This window comes from Homo sapiens, chromosome 3 (genome assembly GCF_000001405.40).
Source record: "Homo sapiens chromosome 3, GRCh38.p14 Primary Assembly".
NCBI lineage: Eukaryota > Metazoa > Chordata > Mammalia > Primates > Hominidae > Homo > Homo sapiens.
This window is the reverse complement of record NC_000003.12, coordinates 164962459-164984724: the sequence shown is the minus strand read 5'-3', so window position 1 is coordinate 164984724 and position 22266 is coordinate 164962459. Positions and strand designations below refer to the sequence as shown.

Genomic DNA, 22266 nt, shown 5'->3' with positions numbered 1-22266 from the left:
ATGAACTTCTCCTAAAACTTGTTAACATTAAGTAAATTTTAACCATTCTTGATTAATAAAGTTATAGCTTAGTAAAATGTTAATTTTTCTACTTATCTTAATGAAATAGTTATATTTGTGTCCTTGACCAAGATCATATGTGAGATCTTTCTTCCTCTTATTAAAAACAACAAAGCTACCCATATCTTCGTAATAGCTGTCACTTTTGCTTTTTTTAACTCAGAATTCTATACTTAAAAGATTGTTCATGAAAACTTAAGTTGTAATTGTATATTTGAAAATAAGAACTAAAATGGTTAAGGAATATTGACACTAATATGTCTTGTAATACATATTAAATTAGCCATACATATATTAGCATACATAAAAAAGTCTTAGGCAGAATATCCATTTTAGTATAGGTAAAATCAATAGCAAATTAATTTTAGTGGGTTAATGAATACAGCCCTGATGTGTATAAGTAGATAAGAGAATAAAAATATCCTGCTTTTTCAATGTTACCCCAATACTTCTTTTATTTGACTCTACTTTGCTCTATCTTATGTATGCTTATTTGTTTTTTTACATAAAAACACAATCTTAGAAGTCAAGGAAGACTGGGTTTGATTCCAGACATTGACAGTAATTAGCTTTTTTGTTTTTTTACTTTTGGCAATTTATTTAACTGCTTTGAAAGTCACTTTACTCTTCTATACGGTGGGAATAATAATAAAATATCTTTTAGAGTAAAGTGATACAGTATTTAGAATTTGGCAAATAGTCAGCACTAAACAAGTTTTACCTGTAGGATGATCATTAAAATGAGTTTTAAATATGGCAAGATTATACTTTAAACTGATGGTGGTGGCTCATGACTGTAATCTCAGTTCTTTGGGAGGCTAAGGCAGAAGGATCATTTGAGTGTAGGAGTTCTAGACAAACCTGGGCAACATAGGGAGAACCTGCCTCTACAAAATTAAAAAAATAAAAAAGCCAGGCATGGTAGTGCATGCCTGTAGTTCCAGCCACTCAGGAGGCTGAGGTGGGAGGATTGCTTGAGCCCAGGAGGTCCAGGCTGTAGTGAGCCATGATTGTGTTACTGCACTTCAGCTGGGACAATAGAGCCAGACTTTGTCTTAAAAAAATAAAAACTAAAAAATAATGATTATACCTTAAAGAGGTGGCTATAAACCTACATTTTGCCAGTTTAATTTTAGTTGACCTGCAACAATCTCTAACTACTGAATTTGTTTTTTCAAATGACACTAGAATGTATTGCTACCATGTTCTTTTTTCCTTTATATTATTTTGTCAGTCACTAAGGTGACAAGTAAGTGTCGATTGCTATCATCACTGAATTCTGTTTATTCTTGCATTACTTGTGCACTTCTTGCCACCTTCCCACTGTTGTGTGTGAAAATTATTTTAAACCTGTTACTGTTTTATCATTACCCCTACACACACATACACCACCTAGCTTGTCCTCTTAGGACCTTACCTGGTGACTCATCCTTCATTTCCAAGGCTCCTTGGATTGTATCTGAATTAGTTAAATAGGCTTAGAGAAAAAATAGGTACATCTTGATAATATTTGCTACTTTTTATACTGGGAAAGAGAAGCAAAGTATACAGGTATTTACTATGGTTCTTCTTTGGAAATAACAATATATCACATTTTTTTTCTCTCTCTACAGACACCTATGAAAGAGACCTATATTTATCTGTACAATTTAATTTAAACCAGGTATGTAAGATTATTTATATGCAATTCTGTTAAGGAATATTTGAAGTTCACAGCTGGGTGGGGTGGCTCATGCCTGTAATCCTAGTTCATTGGGAGGCTGACATGGGAGGATTGCTTGAGGCCAGGGGTTCAAGACCTGTCTGGGCAACATAATGGGACCCCATCTCTATAAAAACATTAGCCAGTTATGGTGGCATGCAACTGTAGTCCCAGCTGCATAGGAGGCTGAGGCTAGAGGGTCACTGGAATCTAGGAGTTCGAGATGGCAGTGAGCCATGACTGCACTATTGCACTCCAGCCTGGCAGTAATGGATTCACCTCCCCTTCTCTTGCATATTTGGTGACTGAATCCAAACTTTCTGAGCCTGGGTGGCAGAGGGAGACCCTGTCTCAATAAATAGATACATAGGAAAAAAGGAAGAAAATTTGAAGTTTTATTCATGTTTATTATGTAAAATACCTTATATCAAATGCACAAATAAACAATTTATTATACTACGAAATACATTTTTGGTTAACCGACATATTTTTAAAGTTTTAATTGCTTTTGCAAATAAAGTGTTTATGTTATTCCTTTTTCTTTATTTATAGACCACCTTAACAAGCACTATATTGAAGAGAGGTTACATAAATAAAAGTGAAACGAGGCTTGGATCCCTTCATGTATGGGGGAAAGGAACTACTCCTGTCAATGCAGTTACTCTAACGTATAACGGAAATAAAAATTCGCTTCCTTTTAATGAAGACACTACCAACATGGTAAGTAATGTAAGAAAATATTTTTCAAAAGCGTACGTATTTAAAGCATCTACATGGACTTCTTATATCCCTCATCTGTAAGAAACATAATTATGAGTCAATTATGACATTCTTCATATATTCCTTTTCATTAGGCCTCCATATTTATTTCCTTATTACTATCCTTAGTAAACTGTCATACAAATCAATCTAATGACATCTATTTTATTCTTATTATGATACAATCACAGCAAAATTAACTTAAAACTTTAAATAACTGTTATCCCTATATGATAAAGTGCCTCAGAAAATACTTTTTTAAAAATAAGATATCTGCATTTAAACATTGACTATGTCTTGAAAATGTATTTGAAAATTCTTGCAAACTTAATAAAACTGTCAGCACCCATTAATACAGGAGTGTGATACATATGATACAGATAATACACAAGGAATCAGGATTCTTGCGTTAAAGCATCATTGCTGCCAGTATTTAGCTCTTTACTTTGAACAAAAAATTTTAGGCCTATTATTCTATCCAATTGAATAGAAAAAAATGCAAGTAAATGATCAATCTCTTAAGCTCCTTCCAGTTCTAAATTCTGTGAATCTATGGCTTGCAAAGGTGAATTTCAAACACATGTTCTAGAAAACAGCTAACTGTTTTAGGTGTTCATTTTAAGTTTAAGCCTACTTATGCACTACTAAAACTGTGTAAATTTGTGTGCACCCACCCTTAATCGTTTAAACTTGGATAAAAACAAAGAGCCTTTAATCAGTCACTTTAGATGAACTTAAATTCTAAAATTGTCAGATGTTCGACTAACTTGAACCTAAAAAAATATATATATATGCATTTGGACACAGTCCTAGGTCCTTGTAGGTGTCAGAGGATGTCAGAGTTAAACAGCACCTGAAAGTCTGTTCCATCTTTTTGAAACTCAACACCCATCCTACTGCTACTGCTGTTTTGTTGACAAGTGGGGTTTTCCTTTAATATGGAACTATGTTTTTCTTACTGCTTTTGCACTGCAACTCGCTATTTTTCTTAAAACTGTATCAAGAATAGGAAATATAAAATAAAATTTCCCAACTTTGATATATTTAATGTCCTTCCTCGGTAAAATAAAAGTTAATATCTTAGTGCCTTACACTCATATTTTTATTTTTATAATTTGACTGATTTATAAAATTCCAGAATACCTGATCTAGTCCAGTAGTCTTATGTGGGTGACAAAGAAATTAAGTCCCCAAAGAAGGAAATTAATTCCCCAAAACAACTACTCAATAGTTATCAATCACAATTAGAAATCACTTTTTTGCACGGTCCAATGTTCAATCAGATAAAGAAAAGACGGTTTGGCTTAGATAATATCTTACCTTTTATTTACTAAATTACAATGGCGAAAATTAAGCTCACAACTTTTATGGTAAAAATAAAGCAAATAAACAATGCCAAATAAGATATTTTAATATTTTGGGGTGTTATTTCAAGGTCGTTTTGATCAAATATGTAGCATAAAAACAAACCATTAAAAATCATTTTTTTCTATTCTCTTTAAAAACATTCACAAAGAATTTTAAGTGTTGAGAACAAATATTTGACAGTGTTTCATTACCTCAGTGATGAAGAAATATACATTTACTTTAACCAACAACTCTGGGCAGTTCCTTCTAAGTGCATTTAAATAAACTCAGTATTTATGAGTAATCACTGTTTTCCAAGCCTTCATAGATACATAGGAAAGGAAGAGAGGATGGTCAATTTCTTTCTCCACCCTGCTTGTCCTTTAATTTATGCAAGAGATTATTTAATTGCTCTAGCAATATAATTTCAAAAGCATTTTTCTAGTAACAATTATGTCCAGCTGATTTATGTAAAAAGTATTAAAAGCTATGTGGTGTATTTTTGCTTTCTACCTTTAAGTTAAAAAAATAGTTTAAGTTTTGTTACAAGATGGATCTGTTTTAAACCTGTCTAACGAATACTCAATTATTTAACTATTACTTTTTAAATTAATTTATCAAATGTGGTAAATTAATCCAAATGTGCTGTGCTTTAAGGAAGATTAAATTTTATAAAGCCCTTATGAAAAGACCTGGTATGTGGTAGGTAGTAAAGGATTCACCTCCCCTTCTCTTGCGTATTTGATGACTGAATCCAAACTTTCTGAGCTAAAGCACAGAAAATCTTATCAGTTCATTGGACAAAAAGGAGCAATGGTAAAGTCTCCTGAAATCGTCATATCATAAAACTATGACAGAAGATCATTTGACTACAGCAACTTAATAATCTCCATGATAGAGATAATAATCTCTCTAGAGTCTACTTTAGATTATCTCCAGTGAAATAAAGTAACACATGCAAAATTGAATCATTGGCAATAAATGAAGCATCATAAAATCTTTTTTGATTGAGTTAAAATAACACTTTTAAATCTAAACTTTGGCTGAAAATGACTGGATAATACTTGACAAAGGGATGCATTGAGATTCATGCGGTGCAGTTATAAATAACTCCATATTTCAAAATTATGTGAAAAGAGTAAAGTCATAGAAATCAATAAAATTGGCTGAGAGTTTTGGGTTTTTCAGTATCTTTTGACAGCAACTTCACCTTTCTGAGATTTATTTTAACCTTAGGTAAAATGGATAGGTTGGGTGAAATTGTTGCTGAAATGGTTGCAAACTTTCTGAGAGTAAAAATTTCTCAAGATATAAAAGAAAATAAAGGTATATACTATTTATTAGAAAACTTTTTTGAAATAGCATTCATGAAAATAAGAAAAATGTGGTTGTGATTAAACAACTAATTATTATTTTACTTTTTTAGATATTACGTATTGATCTGACCACACACAATGTTACTCTAGAAGAACCAATAGAAATCAACTGGTCATGAAGATCACCATCAATTTTAGTTGTCAATGGGAAAAAACACCAGGATTTAAGTTTCACAGCACTTACAATTTTCCCTCTTCACTTGGTTCTTGTACTCTACAAAATATAGCTTTCATAACATCGAAAAGTTATTTTGTAGCGTACATCAATGATAATGCTAATTTTATTATAGTAATGTGACTTGGATTCAATTTTAAGGCATATTTAACAAAATTTGAATAGCCCTATTTATCCTTGTTAAGTATCAGCTACAATTGTAAACTAGTTACTAAACATGTATGTAAATAGCTAAGATATAATTTAAACGTGATTTTTAAATTAAATAAAATTTTTATGTAATTATATATACTATATTTTTCTCAATGTTTAGCAGATTTAAGATATGTAACAACAATTATTTGAAGATTTAATTACTTCTTAGTATGTGCATTTAATTAGAAAAAGAGAATAAAAAATGTAAGTGTATAAAATGTGCATTTTGTCTTTATTTTCCTAATGGAAATTGTCTTAGCTTGCACTGCTATAACAATTTATCATGGACTGGGTGGCTTAAACAACAAACATTTATTTATTACAGTTCTGAAAGCTGGGATGCCTGATATCAAGACATTAGCAGATCCACTGCTGATGGTGGCAGTCTTTATGGCTTACAGACAATTATCTTTTTGTATCCTCATATGGCAGAGAGAGAGGAAGAAAACTCTCTCATGTCTCTTTTTATAAGAGCACTAAGGTGCAGGATACAAAATCAACATGCAAAATTTAGTAGAATATCTATATGCCAATAATGAACTATCTGAAAAAGGAAAACAATCCCATTTACAATAGTCACACACACACATAAAAATCACACCACCACCACCAACAAAAAATCTCTGGGAATAAGTTTACTCAAGCAGGGGTAAAATATGTATAAGGAACACTAGAAAACATTGATGAAAAAAATTGAGGAAACACAAATAAGTGGAAAGATATCCCATGCTTATAAATTGAATACAAAAATAAGTTAAAATATTCATACTACCCAAAGTGATCTACATATTTGATGCAATCTCTATCAAAATACTAGTAACTTTCTTCACAGAAATAGATAAAGCATTCCTAAAATTTGTATTGAACCACAATTGACCCAGAATAACCAAAGCAATCTTGTGTAAAAAGAATAAAGCTAGAGGCATTACACTACCTGACTTCAAAATATACTACAATGCTATAGTAACCAAAAGAGCATGGTACTGACATTAAAAAAAAAAAAATACACACAGACCAATGGACCAGAATAGAGTCTGGAAATAAATTCGTGCATTTAGAGCCAACTGATCTTTGGCAAAGGCGCCAAGAACACACATTGAGGAAAAGACAGTCTCTTCAGTAAATAGTGGTGGGAACACTGGCTATCCACAGGCAGAAGAATAAAACCAGATTCATATCTCTCAGCATATATAAAAATGAACTCAAAATAATTAAAGACTTAAAGAGTTGAACTATGAAACTACTTGAAGGAAACATAGGAAAAATACTTTATGACATTGGTCTGAGTGAGAAATTTTGGATAGAACCTTCAAAGCACAGCCAATGGGAGCAAAAAGAGACAAATATAATGGTATCAAACTAAAAATTATCTTTATAGCAGAGAAAGCAATCAGTAAAGTGAAAAGATATTCCCCAAAATGAGGGAAAATATTTGCAAACTATGCACCTGACAAGAGGTCCACATCCAAAATATACAAGGAATTCCAACAACTCAATACCAAAACAACAAATAATCCAATTTACAAATGAGCAAAAGGCCTGAATACACATTTCTTAAAAGAATACATACAAATAGCCAGCAGATATATCACAAAATGTCCAACATTACTAATCATCAGGAAAATGCAAATGAAAACCACAAGGAGATATTATCTCACCTGAGTTAGAATGTCTGTTATAAAAAAGACAAAAAATAACAAATCCTGGCAAGGATACATAATAAAGGGACATTTTACATTGTTGGTGGGAATATAAATTAGTATAGCAATTATGGAAAACAGTATGGAAGGTCCTTAAAAGACTAAAAGTAGAACTACAAAATGATTTGGCAATTTCATTACTGGTTGTCCAAAAAAATTGAAATCAGTGTGTCGAAAAGATATCTGTACCCCTTTGTTTATGGCATCACTATTCAAAATAGCCAAGAGAATGAATCAACCTATATGGCCATAATGGGTGAATGGATAAGAAAAGATGGTATATATATGCAACTGAATATGATTCAGCTATGAAAAAGAATGAAATCCTGTCATTTGTGAAAACATGAATGAACCTGGAGGACACAATGTTAAGTAAAATAAATCAGGCAGAGAAAGACAAATACTCGATAATCTCACTTATTAAGATAAAACAAACAAACAAAAAGCTTATCTCATAAAAATGAAGAGTACCATAGTGGGTATCAGAGGCTAGGAATGGGAGAAATGAAGGGGGTATGAAGGGAGATAGGACAACAGGTACAAACTTACAGTTAGATAGGAAGAATAAGTTCTAGTGTGCTATCAGGTAGTAGAGTGAATATAGCCAATAATAATCAACTGCATGTTTCAAGGTTGCTAGAAAAGAAGATCTTGAAAGTTACCACTACAAAGAAATAAAAGTTTGAGGTGATGAACATGCTAACTATCCTGATTGGATCACTATACAATGTATATATGTATTGAAATATCTCTCTGTACTCCATAAACATGTACAATTATTATGGTGTGAATTATAAACACAATTTTAAATATCAATTGACCATAAATTAATGGGTTTATTTAAAAACTCTCAATTCTATTCAACTGAACAGTATGTCCACCTTTATGCTAGTACCACATTATTTTGATTACTCTGGCATTGTGGTTAAGTTTTGAAATCAGCAAGTACAAGTCCTCCAATTCTGTTCTTTTTCAAAATAGTTTTGCCTATTCTGTGTCTCTTGATTTTTTTATGAATTTGAGAATCAACTTGTAAAATTCTATAAAAATAGTAGGTGGGATTTGACAGAGTATGTGTTGATCTTTAGCTCAGTAGGGGGAGTACTGCCATCTTAACAATATTAGGCATTCCCGTCCATAAACATAAGATGGATTTCAACTTATTTAAAAGTGTTAAACTTCTTTCAACAGTGTTTCGTAGTTTTCAGTATATAAATCTTCAATTTATTTTTGTTAATTTTAGTCTAAGATATTTTATTCACTTTAATTCTGCTGTAAAATAGTCTTTTAATTTCATTTTCAGATTATGTACTGCTAGTGTATATGAATACAATTGATTTTTATATATTATTAGTTACAACAGTTTTCTTGGAAGTAATAGAGTTTTCTACAAAAAAAGATTATGACTTCGGCAAATAGAGATACTTTTACTTCATTTCAATATTGATAGAAGTGGTAAGAATATATATCATTGTCTTATTCCTCCTGTGAAGGGAAAAATATTCAGACTTTCATTATTAAGTATGATAACTATTAGCATTTGTTTTGTTTTGTAGGTGTCCTTTATCAGGTTGACAAATTTCCCTTCTTTTCCTAATTTATTGAGTATTTTTCCATAAAAGTTTAAGATATTTTTGTCAAGTGAATTTTCTGTATCTGCTCAGATTATCATATGGTTTCTGTTCTTTAGTCTATTAATATGGTGTACTACATTGGTTGTTTATCAGAGGCTAAACAATCGTATTCCTGGGAGAAACCCAAATTAGTCATGGTTTATAACAGAATATCTAAAACTATGTAATTTATAAGGAAAATAAATTTACTACTTCCATTCGTGGAGGCAGACAACTCCAAGATCAATGAGCGGCATATTGTTATAGTCTTCTTTCTGGTGGGGACTCTGAAGTTTTGAGGTAGCACAGAGCATCACGTGGGAAGAGGACTAAGCATGCTGGCTCCTGTCTCTCTTCTGCTTATCAAGCCACAAGTATCACACCCATGATAACCCACTAATCCATTACTCGATAAATAGGTTAATCCATTCTGAGAGCTCTGCCTTCATGATCAAATCACTTCTTAAAGGTCCTACTTCAATATTGCTATATCGGGAATTAAATTGCAACATGAGTTTGGAATGGAAAAACACACAAATGATAGCAGATTTGGTATTATTTGTTCAAATGTTTGGTAGAACTCACCAATGAAACCATCTAGGCCTGAGCTTTTTTTTGAGGGCAACATTTTTATTACTATCTTACTTCTTACTTGTTACAGCTTATAGGTCTGTTGTGGTTTGGCTGTGTACCCACCCAAATCTCATCTTGACTTGTAGTTCCCACAATCCTGATGTGTCATGGGATGGACCCAGTGAGAGGTAATTGAATCATGGGAGCAGTTACTTCCATGTTGCTGCTACATGATAGTGAGTGAGTTCTCATGAGATTTGATGGTTTTATAAGGGGCTTGTCCCCCTTTTGCTCGACACTTCTTTCTGCCACCATGTGAAGAAGGATGTGTTTGCATCCCCTTTCACCATGACTGTAAGTTTCCTGAGGCCTCCCCAGCCATGCTGAACTGCGACCCAATTAAGTTTCTTTCCTTTATAAATTACCCAGTCTCGGTTATGTCTGTAATAGCAGCATGAGAATGTACTAATACGAGGTCTACTCTGATTTTCTTTTTCTTTTTGTGTCAGCTTTTGTCACTTTTGTCTTTCTAGAAAATTATCCATTTCATCTAGGTTATCGAGAGGTTGGCAAATAGTGGAGAAATAGTTGTTCTTAGTATTTCCTTTTAATTATTTTCTTGCTATAATGTCAGTAGTTATGCCCCCTTTTTCCTTCTTGAGTTTAGTAATTTTGTTACAGGTAGCTAGGCATGAGCAGGGCAGGAAAGAGCTCCCTCCCAACCCACTAGAATGTCAGATGATGGTTCGGCAATTATCAAATTACCTCTCTAAAAATAATTTGGCAGTGCCAGGGAGAGACAATTTCCTGATGGTCCACACCTGTTAACATCAAAATGTTAATTGAATGCAGACCTCAGGAAGAAGCAACTTCCTGGGCACACATGTTAAGAGACAAAAATAGTAAAGTATGATCTTCTGGTGGCACACTCCACCAGAAAAGGGAAGAAAGCCTCAGATGGGGATTTATGTAACTCCCTAAACATGATGCACATGCTCAATTCCAAAGGGTAAGGAAGGCTTTTCTCAATTCCAAAGCATGCGGAAAGCCCATCCTAAGGAAAGAATCATGGGAAAGAGGCGAGCTCTTAAAAGTCCTAGGATTATAGTTAAACAGGGCACTTGACCTTCTCTCTTTAACATTCACGTGCCAACTTGGGTCTCTTCCAAGCACGCCTTTCTTTCTTTTCTGTTCTAAGGCCTTTTACAATAAACTTCTATTCCTGCTCTGGAACTTTCCTCAGTCTCTTTCTGCTTTATGCCCCTCACTTGAATTATTTATTCTGTGGAGGCAAGACTGAAGTTATGGATTTGAAAGGATAGGCCGCCAATAACTTGAAATAACTCATATATCTTCCACTGATACCAATTTGAGTCTTCTCTATTTCTTTCTTGGTCAATCTAGCTATAGATTCGTTAACTTTTTGAAGTTTAAAAGAAGCAGCTTTTTAATTTTTTCAAAACATTTTTCTCCATTTTTTACTCTTTATTCCACTTACATTCCACTCTTCATTATCTCTTTATTTTGGTATGCTTTGAGGTTAGTTTTTCTCTCCTTTTTCAACATAATAAGATGGAATGTTAGATAATTTATTCAAAGTATTTATTCTTTTCTTAAAAATAATATAGATATTTACAGGTATCAATTCCCTTCTAATCATAGTTGTAACAGACTCCCATAAGCATAATTTTATATTTTGCCTTTATTCTCATTCATCTCAAAGTATTTTCTTTTTTTAACTTTTATTTTAGGTTCAATGGTACATGTGCAGGTTTGTTATATAGGTAAGCTCATGTCATGGGGGTTTGTTGAATAGATTATTTCATCATCCAGATATTAAACTTAGTACCCAATAGTTATTTTTTCTCATTCTCTCATCTCCTGCCTCCTTCCACCCTCCACCCTCAAGATGGGCTCAGTGTCTGTCATTCCCTTATTTGTATTAATGAGTTCTCATCATTTAGCTCCCACTTATAAGTGAGAACACGTGGTGTTTGATTTTCTGTTCCTGCATTAGTTTGCTAAGTATAATAGCCTCTAGCTCCATCCATGTTCCTGCAAAAGACATAATCTCATTCATAAAAAATTGAATCAAACTGAATTACAGACATAAATCTAAGACCTGAAATAATAAAACTACTAAAAGAAAAAATTGGGGAAATTCCCTAGGACTTTGGGCATAGATTTCTTGAGCAATATCCCACAATCACAGGCAATCAAAATAAAAAATAGACAAATGGGACCATGTCAAGTTAGAAAGATTCTGCACAGCAAACAATCAACAAAGAGATAATTCATAGAATGGGACAAAATATTTGCAAACTATCCATTTGACAAGGGATTAATAACAAGGTTGTATAAGAATCTCAAACAATAGGAAAAAATCTAGTAATCTGATGAAAATGAGCAAAAGTCCTGAATGGACATTTCTCAGAAGGTGTACAAATGGCAAACAGGCATACGAAAATGTACTCAGCATCACTGATCATCAAAGCAATGCAAATCCAAACTGCAATGAGATATCTCATCCCAGTAAGACAGACAATAACAAATGTTGGTGAGGTTGTGAAAAAAGGGGAAACTTCTTACACTATTCATGTAAATGTAAATTAGTACAGCCAGTATAGAGAACAATATAGAGTTTCTTCAAAAAAGTAAAAATAGAACTCTCACACAATTCAACAATCTTACTGCTAGGTATATACCCAAAAGAAAACAAATCAAAGACATATCTGCATTCCCATGTTTATTGCAGCACTATTCACAGTAACCAAGATTTGAAGCAAGCCATATGTCCAACAACAGACGAATAAATACAGAACACGTGGTACATATACATAATGGAGTATTACTTAGCCGTAAAAAAGAATGAGATCCTGTCATTTGAAACAACATGGATGGAACTGAATAACATTATATTAAGTGAAATACACCAGGCACAGAAGGACAAACTTCACATATTTTCACTTATTTGGGGAGCTGAAAATTAAAACGATTGAACTTCTGGAAGTCGAGAGAGGAACCATGGTTACCAAGACTGGGAAGGGTGGTAGGCGGCTGGTCGAGGGGAAGTGGGGATAGTTAACGAGTAAAAATAAATAGTTAGAAAAAAAAAGATAATATCTACTATTTGATAGCACAACAGAATGACTGTCAATAATAATTTATTATACATTTGAAAATAACTAATAGAGTATAATTTGATTGTTTATAACACAAAGGATAAATGCTCCAGGTGCTGAATACACCATTTATCCTGGATGTGGTTATTTCACATTGCATACCTGTATCAAAATATCTCAAGAACTCCATAAATATATCCAAATATTACATATCCATTAAAATTACAAAGTAAATAAATTTTAAAATGTGTTTAGAACCCAGTCTCTACTAAAAATACAAAAATTAGCCGGGCATGGTGTCAGGTGCCTGCAATCCCAGCTACTCAGCAGGCTGAGGCTGGAGAATCGCTTGAACCCAGGAGGTGGAGGTTGCAGTGAACTCTGTCTCAAAAAAAAAAAAAAAAAAAAAAAAAAGGATGTGTTTAGGGGAAGGAAATAATAGCACAGCCACTTTGGATAGGAGTTTGCAAATCTTAAAAATTAAGTGTTCACTTGCTATCTGACCTAGCTATCTCATTTCCATGTATTTATCCAACTTAAACAAAAGCATGTGTTCACAGGAAAAAATTTATGTGTAAAATATTTTAGTGGCTTTATTCCTAATTGCCAAAACCTAAAAACCACCCAAATGTCTCTCAACTAGGTGATCCATAAATAAGCCATTATGTGCCACATTTTCTTTATCCAGTCTAACATTGATGGACATTTGGGTTGGTTCCAAGTCTTTGCTATTGTAAATACTGCTGCAATAAACATATGTGTGCATGTGTCTTTATAGTAGAATGATTTACAATCCTTTGGGTATATACGCAGTAATGGGATTGGTGGGTCAAATGGTATTTCTGGTTCTAGATCCTTGAGGAATCGCCACACTGTCTTCCACAATGGTTGAACTAATTAACACTCCCACCAACAGTGTACAAGTGTTCCTATTTCTGCGCATCCACTCCAGCATCTGTTGTTTCCTGATGTTATAATGATTGTCATTCTAACTGGCGTGAGATGGTATCTCATTGTGGTTTCGATTTGTATTTCTCTAATGATCAGTGATGATGAGCTTTTTTTCATATGCTGGCTGGCTCCATAAATGTCTTCTTTTGAAAAGTGACTGTTCATATCATTTGCCCAGTTTTTGATAATTTTTTCTTATAAATTTGTTTAAGCTCCTTGTATTTTCTGGATATTAGCCCTTTGTCAGATGGATAGATTGCAAAATTTTTCTCCCATTCTGTAGGTTGCCTGTTCACTCTGATGACAGTTTCTTTTGCTGTGCAGAAGCTCTTTAGTTTAATTAAATCCCATTTGTCAATAAAAAAGAATGAGCTCATGTCCTTTTCAGGGACATGGATGAAGCTGGAAACCATCATTCTCAGCAAGCTAACACAGGAACAGAAAACCAAACACCATATGGTCTCACTCATAAGTGGGAGCTGAACAATGAGAACACATGGGCACAGGGAGGGGAACATCACATACCGGGGCCTGTCGGGATGTTGCGGGGAAGGGGAGCAATAGCATTAGGAGAAATACCTAATGTAGATGATGAGTTGATGGGTGCAGCAAACCACCATGGCACATTTATACCAACGTAACAAACCTGCACTTTCTGCACATGTATCCCAGAACTTAAAGTATAATAATAATAATAATAATAATAATAATAATAATAATATGCTCTAATAAAGCAACTATTTAAAATTTTAAAAAATAAACTATTATACACCCATAAATGAAATGAGCTACTGATACCTGTAAAATCCTGGATGAAATTCAAATGGCTTGCACTAAGTGTAGGAAGCCAAATTCAAATGCCAAAAACTTTATGATTTCTTTTTGAAAACATTATATAATAGCAAGACTATAGAGGCAGAAGTTAGACCATGGTTATCAGGAGAATGGAGTGTGGTAAGTGTTTTACTACAAAGGGCCACAGAAAAACCTTTTCAGATAATGGAACAGTTTTATATCTTTAATTTGGTGACAGTTACACAGCTGTATGAGTTTCTCAAAACTTGCAGAACTGCACACCTAAAGTGTAAATTTTACCATAAAAGAGGTCACATACAAAAGCAAACATACAATATGATGCCAAGTATATAAAGATAAAAAAACAGGCAAGACCAGCTAATTGTGATAGAAGCCATGATTGACAGCCTTCATGGAGGTAGTAACTGGAGAGACATAGAGGTGCTTTCTGAGTGTTGGTAACATTTTTCTTGATTACATTATTAGTTTTAAATATGGATTCATTGTACCCAAAACTTAAAATAAAAGTTGAAATAAATAAATAAATAATGACAAAAATCAAGAAAGCAAGCAAGCAAGAAAGACGGATTCTTTTTGCAAAAATTTCTTTAGCTCTACATGTAGTTTACTATTTGCATGCATTTTTATATGTACATTTTAATAAAAAGTTACCATATTTGAGGGATTTATAAGATGAGTTAAATAGAAACATGTTTGGTGGTTTATATTTAGTTCCTGTGTATTTTTTCTTGAAGGAGTCCTTGTCTTATTATGTGAAAAAATTGTTAATACATAAGCATAACACGCTCCATACCCTTAAATTTTATATCTAGGACAAAGATCATCTTAACAGCAATAACTGCAGAATAGATGTAAATATACTTGTTTCTGAAACCATATGACAATATACAATAAAATCCTGATAGATGTTCTTTTTATAAGTCATTTTATTCCAAATTAGTTTGACATTTTCCAAGATTCAGCCAATAGTTTTCTGCTGGTCTCTTGCTTCATGTTCTCTCTTGATGATATTATTAATCCTTTTGGTTTCAAGTATCCTCCTAATGAGAACAACTATCACATAAGCAACCCCCATACTTTTTTAATGCTCAATTTCAAACTCATGTTTTAATCTGCCTATGAGGTAAGGTATACTTTTTAATTCTTAAAATGTATTATTATATGGCAATATAGTCACATGGCTCAAAAATTAAAAAAATAAGTAGTGAAACTATTCTCTCAGACACCTGGCACTAAGTATTCATTTGTCCTACAAGCAATGTATCATCTTCTTATGTATACCACTGTGGGTATTTCATACGTATTCAAGAAAACTTATTTTCATGTTCTTTTCCACCACAACCCCCTTTAAGTTACACAAATGGTCAGACTAGCATGTGCTTTAGTCTTCTGAAACTCACTCAATCAGAAATTGAACATGTAACATCTATAAGTCATAAAATTAAGATCAGAGAATGTTTGCAGGTCACTGAGCACATTTATTCTCACCTTTCCCCCAAGACAGTTCCTCCTCCTTTCTTTCATTGCATAGTCACAATTCTATAGACAGAGACTTGGAATTTTTATTTATTCATGTATTATTACTATTAATTATTGTTATTATTTTAGAGACAGGGTCTCACTCTGTCACCCAAGCTGGAGTGCAGTGACAGTTATAGCTCACTGCAGCTTTGAGTTACAGGTCTCAGGCAATCCTCTCCACTCAGCCTCCTGAGTAGCTAGGACTACAGGCAAGCATCACTACACCCAGCTATTTTAAAATTTTTCTGCAGAGATAGGAACTCCCTATGTTACCCAAGCTGGTCTTGAACTCCTGGACTCAAGTGACCCTGTCACCTCAGCCTCCCAAAGTGCCGTGATTACAGGCGTGCACCACCATGCCTGGCCCTTGAAAATTTTGACATTATTTTTTATTTGTTTTTAGTTTCTTCCACCCATCCATCCAACCTCATCCATTTTTTGCACAATGGCATTTATTAATTTTGTCCCTCCTTTTCTTTACAACAACGATCACATAATGAAGACCCTCATTACCTCGTTTGTATCATTAAAAACAATTTGTAATTAGACTCCCTGCCTTCAAACCTTCATCCTGTAATCCACCCTAAACACTACCTCCAGATAAATTGTCCCCAGATTTCACTGTCATGATTCCTCATTTACTTCTCACCATACTTGAAAAGTTCTTCATTTCTTTGTGACACAGTTAAAGTCTAAAACTGTTAGCCCATCGTGAAAGAGCCATCATGTGAGGCTCTCTGCATCCTGAAGCTATGAGAGTGAGCTAAGGATAGTGGATGTGAAATCAGAATTTGTTTCTGAATCCATATTTCACCAACTGGTAAATGATGATCGCATGGTATGCTAATAATTTTCAAATATCATCTTAATTTGTCTTCATTAACATTTAATAGTTATGTAGTATCATCTTACTCATTTTATAAATGAGGAATGTAAGGAACAGAAGGCTAAATAACTTGCCCAAGGCCATATATCTAATAAATAAAAAAAAACTGACTCTACCGCACGTATCACCAACACACTGTACCATCTCACTTAAGCTCTCTAATCTTCAGTTTCCTCGCCTACACAGTAGGGGTTAGGATGGGGCCTATTTAATCAGTTTATTGAGAGCATGCATGGAACTTCCAGTCCACTAGGCACATGGTAGTCATTTACTGAAAAGTATCTCTATATATCTAAATCTGCTGTCTCCTGGGCTTTATTTTCAGAATGCTCAGTTTCATCACATTTTCTGGCCAATTTATGTATCTTTTAAAACCTCTTAAATATAATTCAAATTTTTCTGCAATTATTATCACTATTGTCATTTAATAATTATCCATATAAAGGCATAATCAGCAAATTAATTTATTTAACTAAAATTTTTATATTTAATTTAAATAAAGTTATTCAAATGTTTATGTATATTATCTGTTAGTAGATTATAAGTTTCTTTTGACTAATTATTTTACTCCTTTTTTCCATCTTCAATATTCTTATAATGATATCTTGCTCATAAAAAGCACATTAAATAAAAAGCTGTGATCACATTACATTTTGAAAACACCTTACTTAGACTTATGACAAATGTATCAATCTGTTCAGATGGAAAGAAAAGAAAAAATATACCTAAAACACAATAAATGTTTTTATTATACTTCAAGTATCTAATTTTTTTCTTATACAAATGGCATTAGGACTATAAAATACTAAAATACAACTATAATCTCATATTTACTTGAGAATTCTTATCTGTTTTTGGCAGTGCAAATTGTTCTATTAAGTTGTTTGGCAAAATTTCATGCAGAAATAAATTTCAAACATACTACCTCCCACTGCTAAGCTTTATTCACTACATGTTTTGTACATTTTTCATTGCAGTATGACTATTCAGAAAGTTGAAGAATACTACAAACACCTGAGCAGTAAATGTCTAATATTAACTTATATAACACAACAAAGTAGACCCCAAATCTAGGTTTCTATAATTATTCTATAGGGTTAATATGTGTGAATAGAAATTTTTTAATACCTCATTCACACCTGAAGAATAATTCTGCTATGAGCCTTTCGAAATGTAACCTGGCAAATTGGCACCACATTTGGTGAATTTAGCCAACTAGGGAAATACCGAAGATGTTTTTATTCATTTCTCTCATTGAACGCTGATCAATCTTAGGATTATTGTGAGATGTGGGCCTCTATGAATTGCAAAGAAGTGAGAGTTGGGCACATAGAGATGATTTAGGTTTGTTTGTTTTCAAGTCTCCTTGACACTTGAATGTGGGCATTTCCAGTAGAGATTTATAGATTCTATACTGTAGCAGCTTTGGCAGCCAACTTTGATGGGCATAGACTTTTTCATCTTAGGTTGTTAGATCAGATTGCAAGAGACTGAACTCAGGCAATGCGCTTTATTGTATATAAAAGGAATTAAAATACACAAGGAAGTAAGAGAGCATAAGAAAAAAAAAAGGAGGCTCATTAGAGAATTGGCAGCTTTAAATTTGCCATTTATCCTCCTTTTTTTATTATTATCATTTTTATACAGACACTACCAGTGGTTTTTCTCCTTTCCAACCTTTGCCACTGCTTACCCATGACTTCTGTGTTTCATCTTCTCTCTACATGTCTTGGTTTTAGTCCCAAAGAAAAATAGTGTTACTTGTTGTTTTGCTCATCTGTTGCTGTGAGAAAAAGAAAATAAATAAAGCAAAACAAAACAAAAACTCATTCTCAGATTTTGTGGTTTAAAACAATTTTATCTTTCATGGTTCCATTAGCTTGCATGGGGGTGTGTCATATGGTGCCAGTCAGATATAGGTTGGCACTGGATCAATTTGAAGACTGGATTGGCTAGAAATAGATTACGTCTTTACTTACATTTGTTGTCTTAGATTTTATCCTCATGTTCTCACTCTACATTTTGAGTTGCTTGGACTTCTTCTGTGGAAACCCAGAGCTCCAAGAGTCAAGAAGTGATTTAACTAGAAAAACAGTTACAAACTAACCGTTTCATGGAGCTGGGGTTGAAGGAATAGACTCTCTCCATGGAGGAATGGCACACACAAGGAGGGGAAAACTGATGGAAGACTTCTGAGTTTTATATCCTTTCCCTTTGGCTTCTTCTTTCTGTCTTTTGCCACATTGTTGGCACTAAAGGTCTTCCTTCCCTCCACTGTATTAATTTCACTGGGGCTCATATTTAGAAAAATTATCTTATATATATTAAGCAAGATGCTTCTTGGAAAATTAATTTATACTCTACTTATCTATCAATCATCCATCCATATAATTTGAGGTTAAATAGATTAGAACAACATGAAAATATAAAAATAAGGGGGCAGTTATGTGGAAATTAAACCTGAGCTATGTAAAAATTGTGCACATTTCTGTTTTCTCTAATTTTCTCCATTTATACCATGAAATTAAATCTGTTGTTTCTTTTCTGATTATTAAGTCATCCCAATGGCAAATTTTTATTTGACATAAATAGAAATAGTGGTTGTCTGGGAAATATCTTAGAAAAAATAGAATAAATGATAAGTATAATGAGAAAATTACCTTTTTTTTTTTCCTTTTTGCACAGATTTGAAAATGTCATGGTAGGTGAGGAGAAATGGAAAATAAGGGAGGGGCAAATGAATTAGTATCATTAGTGCTCTCTTCTAGGAATAAAATGAGTCTAACTTAGCCTACCTGATGATATTATTTTTTACTTACATCAAAGGGGTGAGAGAAGAACTCTCTCTGGGAGATCTTTTGGTTCAACAAAGTGGGGAATGTTGAGAGTCACCTTTTGAGCATTCTGAAAGCTTACAGAGCAGAGTGAGGTGCTTCTTTCTTTGTAATTACAATTTTAATGAATATAAGTTTCAAATTTCATATAAGTTGTATAACCATAAGGGAAATAAAATACTTTATTAGCCTATAGTATGCTTTATTTTTCTAGATACAACTGACATCCTAGAGACTGAAGGAAGTGACAAAGTAATCAATAAGTGAAACATTTCATAATCTCTCTTAAGATTATGGGTAGTAGCTCACCATTAACAAGTACTACAGTTTGCAGTTGCGTGTTCATATTTTTTAACTTTTATTGTTTTATTTCAAAATTTAATTTTTTTCTTTTTTTTAATCAAATAGTACTTTATATTTCAGGTCCAATTAAAGTTTGGAGAAATTGTCCAAAATGTATCTTTAATGAAATTTTTTTCTTCTCTTACTTGTCTGTTCTCATATCTCTTTGTTACATTCTTAGTTATTTCAATAATAATAAAAATTCTCTGGATAGCTGTATATATATTTTCTTTAACTTGACATATCATGTAGGACTTGACATTATTAGTTCTTTTATCTTATAATTATTCCCTTAACCAACTAGAGCTTTTCAGATTTTATTTCTCACTTATGTTTCTGCCATCTGTTTGGTTAAGATTTTACCCCGTGACATGATATTTTATTCATGATCTTTCATGTCACTTTAGTATTAAAATACGTTGTAAGGTTCTTTGATGTAACTTTCTCTTTATTATAGATATCAATATTGGTTTTATTTTGATATGAATATTAACAGTATGAAATAACCACTTGCTAGCATCATTTTACTTTAAAAATGAGACAATAAAATAGGTTAACCATAAGATAAAACATGTATTACTGTACTTAATCTCATTATCATGCAGAGTTTGTACTTATCATCAACTGTTATTATATTTCTTATTAGTAAGTTAGGGAAAAATGATAGCTCACTTAGGTGAAATTTACACTTGAAATACACAAGTATAATAAAATATGCAAAAATGTCACAATAACAATATATGATAATTCTTTTGGAAAATAATTTTAGAAGCATAAGATTTAATGACGTTTACCCTTAAATTTTATGTCATGTATTTAGTTAAGATATGAAACTTATTAGCAATACTCAGAGGTTATAAGCCAAATACTAAGAATTTGGAAGTAAGATTATCTCAGAAATCAATGCAGAATAGTTGAGAGCAGAAATATGTAACTTGAACTTAGAGGCATTCTACATTTTCCAAAAGCTCCCTGATTCTTTTCCCTGTCACAGATCTTTATTTCTCCACTTCCTAACCTGAGACAAAACATTCTAGCTCTGCAGTCAGTAAATGCCCAGATCTTCAAATTTTCAAATGTTTCCTCAGCCAGGATGAAGCCTGGTTTATCCTAATGACACTGATTCTCTGGGTGCTGTCACCTTAAATTTCAACAAGTTTAAGCTCCAACCCATATCCCTGTTGTGTCTTCACATTCATGCATTCATCTCCTTTTATACAGGAATTCTTTGGACATCTCACAAGTGCCTTAAATGTAAACATTAAAAAAACTGAACTCATGATCTTGCTCACCTTTCCAATTCAATTTTAATTGCCATACTAGCTCCTCACCCTTTCTTTTTATTTTGGAATATAACACTACCATTCACCCAGCAGTTCATGGCAAAGTTTTGGGGGTTAGTTTTGACAGTAGTTTGTCCTGATCTAATGTGTCACCACATCTTGTTGGTTCTAGGTCCTAAATTCTCTTGACTTCATCTCCTGTTCTTCATCTCTTCTGCCATCATTATTGTACAAGCCATTGTTATGGTTCATCTAGAGCACCACAATAGAAGACCACAAATTATTCTGTCTTCCTCAATCTCCTCAATTTTTGCTTCTTCTCCATCTGTTCTCCTTAAATAAATTGAAGGGCTTTATAATAAAAACACAAATACAATGATATCACCACCATGGTTACCTATCAACCGCTTCCCTTTGCTTTTAGGGCAAAAGGAATATTTTAATATGAGCCCCAGGGCCTTTCTGCCCTGGTGCAAATCCACTTCTCCACATTTACCTCTGCCACTCTCCCTTTACCTCTCCTTGCTTCAATTATGCTTGTCTACTTTGTGTTCTTAGAAATGGCGTGCTTCTTTCCGCTTCAGACGTTTGCATATTCACTCCCCTTTGACTCATCTTGTTCTCCAGGTAACGGCATATTTAGCTCCCTCATTTTCTTCAGGTCTTTGCCACATGTCTCCTTCTCAATGAGGTAGTCATTGACCACACCTTTGCACTCCCCATTCCCCTTCCATGGTTCCTCCTTAGCACTTAATTACCATAAGATACAGATACACCATACACTTTAATTACATATTGGTATGTCACCCGTCTCCCACCACAAGAATTCAAGCTTTTTGGGACAACGAATCTGTTTTATTTGCTCACTGCCATATCCTTCACACGTAGAAGAATACCCATCAATGAGTAAGCCCTCAATACATACTTATGATGATTAATTCATGTAATTTAATTCTCCTGATGACAGAAAGTTCATATTTTTACCTCTATTTTAAAGATAAGGAAACTGAC

The 22266-nt window shown here is 33.3% G+C and overlaps 1 protein-coding gene across 4 annotated transcripts in view; it reads left to right on the top strand.

Annotated features, from left to right (window-relative positions):
- Window positions 1-5827, top strand: part of SI (sucrase-isomaltase) — a 111335-nt gene extending 105508 nt beyond the window's left edge. For all 4 annotated transcript variants that reach the window (XM_047448735.1, XM_047448736.1, NM_001041.4 and 1 more), the window contains 3 exons: window positions 1674-1723; window positions 2315-2482; window positions 5295-5827. In XM_047448735.1, coding sequence (XP_047304691.1) covers window positions 1674-1723; window positions 2315-2482; window positions 5295-5363 — 287 coding nt within the window. In that variant the 3' untranslated portion in view covers window positions 5364-5827. The remainder of the gene's footprint in view (window positions 1-1673; window positions 1724-2314; window positions 2483-5294) is intronic.